At 41.1% G+C, this 12,730-nt stretch overlaps 1 protein-coding gene and 1 pseudogene across 1 annotated transcript in view; both read left to right on the forward strand.

Moving 5' to 3' along the window:
• The window catches only part of ZNF487 (zinc finger protein 487), an 87,047-nt gene extending 75,812 nt beyond the window's left edge, over nucleotides 1-11,235 (forward strand). Inside the window, exon 9 of the transcript XR_007061981.1 lies at nucleotides 10,583-11,235. The gene's annotated coding sequence lies outside the window, so the exon portion shown is untranslated. The remainder of the gene's footprint in view (nucleotides 1-10,582) is intronic.
• On the forward strand, nucleotides 10,582-12,445 carry LOC100130881 (zinc finger protein 12 pseudogene; annotated as a pseudogene).

A 12,730-nucleotide genomic window follows, 5' to 3' on the forward strand; every position in this document is an offset into this window, starting at 1 on the left:
CTCCAGCACCATTGGATCTGTTGGGTCATATGGCTCAAGTGGCAGAGCAGCTTGCACAGCAGCCTGGACCTATTGCAGAGCATTCTTCTGTTCTGGACCCCACTCAAAACTGACAGCCTTTCGGGTCACTTGATAAATGGGCTGGAGTAACACACCCAGATGAGGAATGCTTTGCCTCCAAAATCCAAATAGGCCTACTAGGCATTGTGCCTTTCTTGGTTGAAGGAATGGTCAAATGCAGCAACTTATTCTTCACCTTAGAAGGAATATCTCAACAGGCCCCACACCACTGGACCCCTAGAAATTTTACTGAGGTAGAAGTTCCCTGAATTTAAGTCAGTTTTATTTCTCATCCTCTGGCACACAAATGTCTCACCAGTAAGTCCAGTGTGTTTGCTACTTCTTGCTCACTGGATCCAGTCAGCATAATATCATCAATGTAATGGACCAGTGTGATATCTTGCGGCAGCGAAAAGTGATCAAGGTGTCTCCAAATAAGAAAAAGCGATCAAGGTGCTTCCGAATAAGATTATGACACAAAGCCAGAGAATTGATATACCCTGGAGGTAGGACAGTAAAGGTATATTGCTGGCCTTGCCAGCTGAAGGCAAATTGCTTTTGGTGGGCCTTATGGACAGGAATGGAGGAAAAGACATTTGCCAAGACAATGGCTGCATACCACCTACCAGGAAATGTGCTAATTTGCTCAAGCAATGAAACCACATCTGGTACAGCAGCTGCAATTGGAGTCACCACTTTGTTAAGCTTACAATAATCCATGGTCATTCTCCAAGATCTGTCGTCTGCACAGGCTAAATGGGAGAGCTGAATGGGGATGTGGTGGGAATCACCACCCCAGCGTCTTTCAAGTCCTTGGTAGTAGCACTAATCTCCACAGTCTCTCCAGGGATGTGATATTGTTTTTGATTTACTATTTTTCTAGGTAAAGGCAGCTCTAATGGCTTTCATTTGGCCTTTACCACCATAATAGCCCTTATCCTACCAGTCAGGGAGCCAATATGGGAGTTCTGCCAGCTGCTAAGTATGTCTATGCCAATTATGCATTCTGGCACTCAGGAATGACCACAGGGTAAGTCCGGGGACCCACTGGACCCACTGTAAGTTGGGCCTGAGCTAAAATTTCATTAATTACCTGATCTCTATAAGCCCCTACTTTAACTGTAGGACCAGTGATGTTTTGGGTCCCCTGGAATCGTTAGCTCAGAGCCAGTGTCCAGCAGTCCCCGAAATGTCTGATCATTTCACTTTCCCCAGTGCACAGTTACCCTGGTAAAAGGTTGGAGGTCTCCTTGTGGAAGGATGGGAGAAAGAGTCACTATGTAAATTGTCGGTAATGTAGTAGGGTTCTTCCTCAAGGGGACCTGGTCTCCCCTTCATTCAAGGGGTTCTGGATCTGTAAACTGGCTCAAGTCTGGAAATTGATTGAGGGGTTGTGATTCTCTAGTTTGTTTTTTTGTTTGTTTTTGTTGTTTGTTTTTGAGACAGAGTCTCCCTCTGTCATTCAGGCTGGAATGCATTGGTGTGATCTCGACTCACTGCAACCTCCACTTCCTGGGTTCAAGCAATTCTCCAGCCTCAGCCTCCTGAGTAGCTGGGATTACAGGTTTGTGCCACCATGCCTGGCTAATTTTTGTATTTTTAGTACAGATGGGGTTTCACCATGTTGGCCAGGCTAGTCTTGAACTCCTGAGCTCAGGTGATCCACCTGCCTTGGCCTCCCAAAGTGCTGGGATTATAGGTGTGAGCCACTGTGCTGGCTGATTCTCTGTTTTTATAATTCAAATTAGACTTTTGTCCCTTCGACTTAGAAATTTTCTGCTTATATAAATTAAGTAGGAATGCAGTAGGCTTCCTATCACTTTCACTTGTAGGAACACCATGATTAGCCAATGCTAGAGCTCTACATTAGTCAGGATCTTCTGATTGCCACTTTGCCTCTGCTGTCCATCAGAGTAGCCACGCCCACCTTGCCTTTGATGGTTGAGTGCTGCCACTTGGCCCCTGCCACCTTGGGATCCAATTATTCCCATTATATTTAAATTTTGTAGTTGAGTGTCTGCAGTTCCCACTGTTAGATCTGACATACAGAGAAGAGCAATTAGAGGGCTCTTCAAAGATGCAGGTGTTGCCCTCACAAATCTGTTTCACAAGGCATTGGTCAAGGGTATATCTTCTGGGCCCTCCCAGCTGGGATGAGTAGGTCTAAAGTGACTAATCCACTCCACCATCCCAATCTCCCTAAGCCTTTGTATCCCTTCCTCTACGTTAAACCAAGGGAGATGAGGCATATCCAGCTTGCTCACAGTGGATCATCTTCTTATCTGTATTTTAGCTAACCAAGCAAATAAACTATTAGAACCTTTTTTAACTACCCAAGTGGCAACATTGAATGCAGAGTCCGTACTTAGTGGACTCAAATCAATAAATTCAGCCTGATCAAACTTTGTGTTCTTTCCACCATTATCCCACACCCTTAATATCCATTCCCATGCCTGTTCTGCAGATTTATTTATATGAATTAGAAAACTCAAGCAGTTCCTTTTGAGTGTAGTGCATACTCTCAACCTCACCTCTAGGGGCCTGTTGGGACTTTAGTTATAGGTCTAGAAGCAAACGGGTGTTGGGGGTGGCTCCTGAGGAAAATCAACATTATCTTGCCTGGCAACCATCACCATTGCCTCAGGCAGCACAGGGTTTATCTCCTCAGACAAAGGTGGAAAGGCTGATGGCAGCATGGGTCAGGGAGGGGATGTTGCCACTACCAGGGATGGGGAAGCTGTTTCTTCTGGCAAAAAAGATTCATCAGAGTTTACAAACTCAGTGTCCTCAGCTTCATCAGGGTCCTCCCACACATCACCATTCCAAGTTGCAGGTCCTATTCTTTTCCAATCAATGCCCTTACTTTTGCAATAGATACCTAGCGTGGCTGTGCATTCACCTTTTGTTGCATGTCAGCCACTCTCATGGTAAGAGCTTGTGTCTGTTTTTCCACAATTTTCGCTCTTTCTCTACAGGAGATAAGACTCACTCAGGGCAATCTTAGCAGATTTGAATCTCAGTATCTGCTTCTGAAGCTGGGAGAGAGAATCCCTGAGTTCATTTTCTCTTTTTTTTTGACGGAGTCTCGCTCGGCCGCCAGGCTGGAGTGCAGCGGTGCAATCTCGGCTCACTGCAACCTCTGCCTCCAGGGTTCAAGTGATTCCCCTGCCTCAGCCTCTTGAGTAGCTGGGACTACAGGGCGCACCACCACACCCATCTAATTTTTTTTGTGTGTGTGTATTTTAGTAGACGGGATTTCACCATGTTGGCCAGGATGGTCTTGATCTCCTGACCTCGTGATCCGCCCGCCTTGGCCTCTCAAAGTGCTGGGATTATAGGCATAAGCCACCGTGCCCAGCCTAGTTCATCATTTTCTTTCACCACTTTGTCCACTGAATGTAGGAGCAACCAACCAGCTTCATTATGTTCCTTGGTTCTCCACATATGGTCAAAGGTATATATAGGGTTACTAAACTCCTTGCCTGTCATGAGCAATGAATCAGGAGTGTCAAATGCGTTTATTTTGCATAACTATCTAAACAGTTCATGCCAAGGACTATCAGTGTTTTTCATACTATTAGAAGTAGAGTCCTTGGCATTTTTGGGTCTAATCATAGCAAGCAGCTAACTCCAGAAACTCCAAAACCAATGAAAGACCTTCATACTTAATATTCTCTTCCTCTAGAACAACTCCTGGTACCAAAATCTGTATTACGGTTCTCTAGAGGGACAGAACTCTAATGGAATATGTGTATTTGTGTGTGTGTACACATATATATGTATAGAGGGGTTTATTAAGTCTTAACTCACATCATCACGAGGTCCCACAACAGGCTGTCTGCATGCTGAGGGGCAAGGAGAGCCAGTCCAAATTGCAAAACTGAAGAGTCTGATGTTTGAGGGCAGGAAGCATCCAGCACGGGAGAAAGATGTAGGCTGGGAGGCTAGGCCAGTCTTTTTCACATTTTTCTGCCTGCTTATATTCTAGTCATGCTGGCAGCTGATTAGATTGTGCCCCACCCAGATTAAAGGTGTGTCTGCCTTTCCCAGCCCACTGACTCAAATGTTAGCCTCCTTTGGCAACACACTCACTGATACACTCAGGATCAATACTTTGTATCCTTCAATCCAATCGTTGACACCTGGTATTAACCATCACATGGCTAATATGCCCTGTTCAGAGCCTATTTCAACAGCCTCTAGGCTGTAGTTTTCCTTCATCTCTAAAGGGACACAGTATGCCTCTACCAGGTTATCCATGGGGTACCGTAGCAGCCTTGTCATCACATAGTCTTTGTAGGCAAGATCTCAACTGCGTCCAAATTTCTCTAAGAGGACAACTATCATATTACATTGATGACATCTTCTGAGAAGATACTTTTGACACACTAATTCAGGACATACAAGTACTGAAAAAGGAGCACACAAAAAGTGGTCTCCACACGTTGTGTGAGGGGTCTTGCCACCTCTGTTAAATTCCTGAAAGTTATTTGGTAATCTGAGGGCCATTTCATCCCTGACACCATCAAGAAACAGCTATTGACTTTCTCAGTACACACAATGTTAATACAAATATCTTTCAGTCCTCTTTGAGATCTAGAGGTGACATATTCCTCATTTACAAGTTTTACTTAATTTCACTGATGCTGTTACTTGCAAGTTGGCCCACCTTGGATGGATTCCCTTCAACAAAAGGCTTTAGAATCTGTCCACATTGCAATATGACAGGAATCCCATGAGTCTCCTCAAAGACTCCTTTACCATAGGGGCTTTAGCAGCCTTCTCTCATAACTCATGGTGGCCACAAATTGCCCATGAGCCCCTGACGCAAGAAACTGCCCTCTTTGACATTGCACTGTACATCATTAGAGCAGCAACTGTTGGTCACATACTGGGGTCTCTTGGAAATAGAGGCTTTTACAGGTCCTGAGCTTGTGACCCTCCATACCAGCTGCCCATTGTTCCTTGGGTCACAGAAGCAGGGCGCTGCAAGTTTGGCACAGCTACCAAAACCTCCTTGATGTAGGATGGAGCCACACCCGAGCCCTCTGGCATACTCCATCTGTGGGAGGGGTGGCTTTCTTTGTTCTCAGTTTCTTGGCAAATACCATGGTACTGGAGGAGGTCCTTGGCTACCTGAGGATCCCTGTGAGATTAACTGAACAGAAATAGGAGTTTCTAGACTATACATGCTGGAGCTCGGTGGAATGTTGCTGCTTTCCATCCTTTATTCAGGATGCTCCTGACCAAGGGTCAGCACCAGTGGCCACTTTCAGGCAGTCGTCCTAGCACTGGATGTCCTAAACCTGGCCAAAAAATGATACTCTCACTACATTTTTAGGCCATTGCCTAAGAGTTGCCCCCTTTGGGGTAAAGATCTCTGGGAATCTCTTGCCTCACAGATACCCAGAATAAAAATCAAAGTAACAGGTGTCAAGGCCACAATACAGGACCTCACCTGAACACACCTTTCTGACCAGACATTACTGATAGTGACCAAGGCACTTCGCAGAATACACAGTGGTGAGCTTTTGGAAAAGGCATTCAATGAAAGTTCTACCTCCCATCTAGGCCCCAAGCAGCTGGTTTAGTTGGGAGTTCTCTGATTTAAGTTACAAAGGAGCAAATGGATACCCCGCCGTGTATCACTATTGCTACAGACATTGACTGAATTTATGTCCCCTAGGTATAGCACTTCATATGCCAGTGCCACACAGGTTCCCAGACTGTCTTCATTGGCCATAAAGGGGGACACCTCTAAAGTTTATGTTTTTGATGACCATCTTGCCATATTGCCCCTTTCTGATGCCCCTTTTGATGACCATCTTGCCATATTGCCCCTTATCTATCAAGATTGATAAGCACTCAATCTTGAAGTGCTTATCCACCTCTTGTCTGCCCTGCTCAGACCATCATACTCTGTTTCTGGCATGAAGCCTGGCACACAATTGTCCCATAATAACATATCTATTAGATGGATGGATGGCGATTCCCAGGGCTCTTCTATGCATCTTCAAAAACTACCCTATGGACCTTCTGTTCTCTCTTACAGCAATTCTCTCAAAACATTATTCACAACTCTCTTATACATTCTCAAGACTTAAAGCTTGTGATTCTCAAATTTTATCACTTTCTCACTTGTCCCGTTTGCTCTAGACTCCTACAGTATTTTACCTACTTACGTTAAATTCTTCTTGGGTTTTAATTCTAACTTTCTCAATACAGCAAAAGCTAAAAAGTAAAATTATATCTCACAAATTTAAAATTTTCACTTCATATTTTTAATTCATCACTTGACATTTTTAATTCATTAGGTCTACTATAACTGACAAAAATGAAACCACTTTAAATCTTCTAGCTCTCTCAAAAATTTTTTTTTTGAGATGGGGTCTTGCTGTGCTGCCCAGGCTGGTCCTGGACTCCTGGGCTCAAATGTTTCTTCTGCCTCAGTCTCCTGAGTGGCTGGGATTACAAGTGTGAGCCACCATACATTATCACACTCTTACTGTTGTTTTGCAGTTCTTGTTTCACTTTTATAAAGTGTCTTCAAAATACCTTCTTATTCTTACTTTCTACTGACATCACCCACAAGCAGATCCATATATTTGTTATGATCTTGCTCTGATTAATCTAATTCATGATAGAATTAGACTTAAAATGTAAAACTTCAAACTTCTGATTTACCTTGTTACTAGCCTGGCAGGATAAATCTATGATTTCTCTCCTCTTACCTAACACCTAAAATGTAAGTTTTTTTTTTTTTTTTGAGATGGAGTCTTGCTCTGTTGCCCAGGCCAGATTGCACTGGTGCGATCTTGGCTCACTAGAAGCTCCACCTCCCAGGTTCAGGCATTTCTTCTGCCTCAGCCTCCCAAGCAGCTGGGACTACAGGTGCCCGCCACCACACCCAGCTAAGTTTTGTATTTTTAGTAGAAACGGAGTTTTACCATATTGGCCAGGCTGGTCTCGAACACCTGACCTTGTGATCCGCCTATCTTGGCCTCCCAAAGTGCTGGGATTACAGCGTGAGCCACTGTGCCTGGCCTAAAATGTTAGTTCTTTAACAAGCCTCACGTGTGGCCACATTTAGCCTGACCAAATTTATTTTTCTCTGTTGCCCCAAACCCTGCCTAACTCCATTTGGTAAAGTCACCTAGATGTCTTTCAAACATGTAGTGCTCCTTATCTTGTTTGCCCTTTTCATTCTAGTGTGTATCTTTCCTGTCCAGATGGTTAAATGAATGAATAAGTGAAAAGTGGTTAAAGCAGTACCTTGCATATATAATAAAGTCTTATTGCTGTTGTTCTTGTTACATACATTTTAGGTTACAGCTGAAGTTTGCTATTTTTTTGTGTGAAATATCCATTAGCTGCATTATTCATGTACACAAAATGACTGTATGTTAATCTAATATTAGACTATCTAATACCTGATTATCTGATACCTGACCAGATTAAGTTCTTGACTAGTTTTTTTTTTCCACTTAAATTTTTCTACCCCCAGAGAGAAAGATCCCTCTTTCACTCTTCCTTCCTTTACTAGGTAAGATGCAGTAGATATTTCTTTGTTGATTGTATGGCCTGGGTTGTGAGTACTCTTTTACATTTATTCACACAGAAAACCAAGGAACTCTTTTTAAGTAGACATGCTAAGGTGAATATATTCAGCTTGATTATTGGGTGTAAATTGGCAAGAAGTTTAAGGTTTGTGTTTTGAAATAGCCTTCCAAGAAATTGTGATGCATGCAACTTACTAGTATGTGTCCACTGATTTACTACTCATTCAGATAATTTAAAAGAAATCGGAGATAGAGCAACACTGCTAGGACCTTAGGGTGCATTTGTGGCAAAAGAACAAAACCAGCATGAAAATATTTTAAAGTTAAACAGTTAGAAAGAAATATTTGTTATAGAGCAGTGACATACAAAGTGATAAAGTTAATATCACCACCTTTTAACTGTAAAGATTTATGAAGATTTTTTGGGATATTATGGGATAATAGCTATTTCTTGAAGGCATCCAGCTGCTGAGTAGGCTAACATTGAAAGGCCCAGTACCCAAGTGGATGCTTATAACGCAGGTCTGTGGTTGGGGATGAGCAATTATGGAGGAAAGATGGTTTGGATTGTGGACAGCAGAGGATGGTGACTGTGGTAATAAGGAGTGACAGTTGCCAATAGCAAATAGAATCCATTTGTCAGATCTGGTCTGTGAGTGTCGACTTTATCTGTTTTGTTTCTTAGTCCTTTGGGACACTAGGCTCAGGGATGTGGTAGGTTTTTGACCATAGTATTGTTAATATTGTGTTGAATCTGGGTAAGAACAGGGTGATAGTTGTCAGAGGAAGCTTCATAATAAAAAGATATGGTTGATTATCATGATTCATGGTATTCATGTTCTGGAAAGTTACCACAAGCACTGAATTAATGAATATTGAATCATTGCTCCCAGATGAAATACAGGGTTAGTTCCTGCCAGCCTCTGCCCACATTTTTGTTAGCTAATCCATACATAATCCTTTTTAATATGGGTTTATTTTTAAAAATATACCCATATATATAGCTGATTTATTAATATTGAATTTATGGCCAATGGCACTACATCTCATGAATAAAGCTAATTTAACACACATATATTCTCCACAGGCACATCACAGCCTTCTTGCACTTAGGAACACGAGAGACAGTACTTCAGTCCTACACTAGCGGACTATTTTAAACAGTGAAATCACCAGCAAAACCCACAAAACTGAAAAATGTGGCACTAACAGTACCAGGGACGGGCACTTGTTTATAGTATGAGAACTGAAACAAGAAGCTAGAGCATGGCCTTGTTCAGTTTCACCTGGGAATATGTGTGCTGGGTGACTGAAGTTTTTAAGTGCTCAGTGCATGTTCTTGACAATGAAAGCACCAAGAGTCTTGATTTTGGGTTTACAAATAAGTTTTAATGAGTAGATGAATTTGTTGTCACAAAATCCATGAATAATGAGGATTAACTGTATGAAGATCAGTAAAGATTCTAAGATTAGGTTGAAAACTATGGTCTTTAAAGCTCACACTGGAAAGAGAAACCAGACATGCTGAAATAAATAAATGGTTAAAAAATTATATATGTATATTCATATATGTAATATATACACACGTATATATTATATATTATATGTATATGAAAAGTAAAGGATGACTTTATATATACAAAAAGAGTTGTGTGAGGTACAAGACTGTTTATGAAATAAATTGATAAATAGGGAAATTTTATGATTTGATGGCTATGACAGGTTCATTAATGACAACTGTGGTAAAAGAAAATGAAGATACAACAGCAGAATAAAACTACATACCTGATCTTGTTTCCATAGCCTACATGTATGCTTTCTCTGGACATTGGCTTTTGGTGTGAATCAGCTAGAGTAAGAATTACTGTCTGGGCAATAGGAGTTTTCTTTTGCACATGGAAAATTATTGCTGTCTGAAATTGTAATTTGGTGTTGATGAGTGGAAGAGAAAAGAAGAGCCAGGCAAAGTGGCTCATGCCTGTAATCCCAGCACTTTGGAAGGCTGAAGTGGGCAGATCACTTGAAATCAGGAGTTTGAGACCAGCCTGGCCAATATGGTGAAATCCCATCTCTACTAAAAATACAAATACCACTTGCTAGTATGTGTCCACTGATTTACTACTCATTCAGATAATTTAAAAGAAATCAGAGATAGAGCAACACCTGCTAGGACCTTAGGGTGCGGTGGCTCATGCCTGTAATCTCTGCACTTTGAGAGGCTGAGGTGGTAGGTTTACCTGAGGTCAGGAGTTCGAGACCAGCCTGGCAAAGATGGCGAAACCCTGTCTCTACTAAAAATACAAAAATCAGCCAGGCACGGTGGCGGGTGCCTGTAATCCCAGCTACTTGAGAGGATGAGGCAGGAGAATCACTTGAACCTGGGAGGTGGAGGTTGCAATGAGCCAAGATTGTGCCATTGCAATCCAGCCTGGGCAAAGAGCTAGATTCTGTCTCAAAAAACAAAAAATAAAAAAAATAAAAACAAAGAAAAGAATTAGTGATGCATTGGAAACATATGTATTAGTGAGTATTTTACAGCAGGAGATAAAAACCTACATTTGCCTCCTCCAAACTTAATTTTTTCTTTGCCGTCACCCCTCAAACACTATCACCTGATTTTTTTTCTGGCAATTTTACCTACTATTCAATGCTTTCGATGATTCCCCTTCATGCCTCTACCATTCATCCTAAAATACCATTTGCTGTATTTGTTTATTCCACTTTATCCAGTTTTGAAGGTCACATTTCTAAAGTGCCAGATTACTGTGTTTTTATTTGCAGATTCCTCTCCTTTTTTCATATTCAGTTTGTTTTGTCTAATCCTAAGGGAGTGAGATGTATGCCTTCAGGATTACTTTCAGACCAGATGCCTGGGCTATCCTAGAGCATTTGCATGTTACATCCCCTTTCCACATGAAATGTGTTAATATTTATAAGATATGGTAAACTATTCTCATTTCTAGAATTCTGGAAAGTTGACCTGATGGAGAAGAACCAGGAAAACCAAGACCAGCATTTGAGGAAAGCTGGTTTTGTCAACAACAAAATACTGATGGAAGACAGAAATAGTGTTTTAGGAGAAACATTTAATATAAATTCAAACCTTGTTCCAATGAGAAAAATACCTGATAAATATGACTTATGTATAATGAACGTGAATTATATTTCAGAATTAATTGTTAGTAATAGAAACTCCTTTGGAAGGAAGCTTGATGAGCTCAGTGCACATGCGAAATTGCTCCTTCATATGACATGAGCATCCTTATGCCAGAGAGAAACATTTTGAGTGTGACAGAAATGAGAAAGCCATCTGTTAGAATGAGGACTTATTTCAGCATCAGGATATTCAAACTCTGAAGCAAATTTTTGAATACCTTGAGTGTGGGAAAGCTTTTCATGAGGAGGCAGCCTTCAGTACCCATAAGAGAGTGTGCTTCTGGGAGAAACCTTGTGAATATAATGAACAACTAAGAGCCTTTTCTGACAATCCAAACCTCCTTGTTCATCAGAGTACTCACAGAAGGGAAAATCACTACGAGTTTAATTGCTGTGGGAGGAGGTCTGTTGGTGAGAAATCTCTAAATAAACACCATGGAGGAATCATGGGGAAAAAATACTATGAGTGTGAGAATAATTTTGGCAAAAGTCACTCTTTATTGACACTGAAAGAACTCAAAAAGGAAAAACAAGCTTTGAATGTAATGAAGGTAGGGAAATCTTTAAGAAACCAAGTCTCTCTCAACAGCATACATACGCAGAAAAGAAAACCTTTCAAAATAGTCATTATGGGAGTTCTTTTTGGCATATGTCAGTTCTCCCTAAACATCAGCAAACACACGTAGGAGGAAAGTTCTATGAATGTAATGAGTGTGGGAAAGCTCTCAGCCACAGTTCATCTATCATAGTACATAATAGGATATACACAGGGGAGAAACTTTATGAATGTACTGAATGTGAGAAAACCTTCACAAATAGGTCAGGCCTTACAGTTCATTGGCAGATACACACAGGGCAAAAACCCTAAGAATGTATTGAATGTGTCATGCACATTCGATACATACAAATGCAAAGTGTCATTAGGTTATGTGACTTATATCTGAAGGGAAGCCTTTAGATATAAGTCAGTCCTTACAGTACATCAGTACATCAGAGAACACACACAGGTGATAAACCCAATGAGTGTAGTGAATGTGGGAAAAAATTCTGTGAGAAGTCATATCTCCAAGTACATCAGAGAACTCACACAGGGGAGAAATCCCATGAGGGTAAAGAATGTGGAAAAACCTTTGTTTACAATTCATTCCTCATAGTACATCAAAGGATACACATAGGTGTAAGACCCTATTAATGTAACGAATGTGGGAAAACATTCTCACAAAAGCCAGACTTCACTTATCATCAGAGAACTCATACTGGAGAAAGGCCCTGTGAATGTAATGAATGTGGGAAGTCTTTCTCAGTGAAGTCAAAACTTATTGTGCATCAGAGAACTCACACAGGGGAAAAACCCTATGAATGTAATGAATGTGGGAAAACCTTTTCCCAGAAGTCATCTCTTACAGTACATCAGAGAACACACACAGGGGAGAAACCATATAAATGTAATGCATGTGGGAAAAGTTTTTCCCAGAAGTTATCCCTTACTGTACATCAAAAAAGACATAAAAAGAGAAGCCATATAAATGTATTCAATGCAGCAAAACATTTAACCAGAAATCAGCACTTACTAAACATCAAAGAGCTCAGGAGAGAAACTTCATAAATATAATGAATGCAGCAAAACTTTTTACCACAAGTCATCCCTCACAGTACATCAGAGAACCCACACAGGAGAGAAACCCTACAAATGTAATGAATGTGAGAAGACTTTCTACCAGAAGTCATCACTTATAGCACATCAGAAAACACACAGAAGGCAGAAATCCTGTGAATCTACAAATGTGGAGAGCCTTTTATCAGAATTCACTAATCTGAGAAAGTACAGAGAGAAGTCCCTGTTAGCATCTTCTGAAAGTCCAGAAACCTTTTCTTACTTAACCTACTCAGTTTACATTAAAAACAGTGAAGGGGAGAAACTTTGTAAGTATGAGAAATATTTTGCCCAGAAATAA

Source organism: Homo sapiens, chromosome 10 (genome assembly GCF_000001405.40).
Source record: "Homo sapiens chromosome 10, GRCh38.p14 Primary Assembly".
In the NCBI taxonomy this organism is placed as follows: Eukaryota; Metazoa; Chordata; class Mammalia; order Primates; family Hominidae; genus Homo; species Homo sapiens.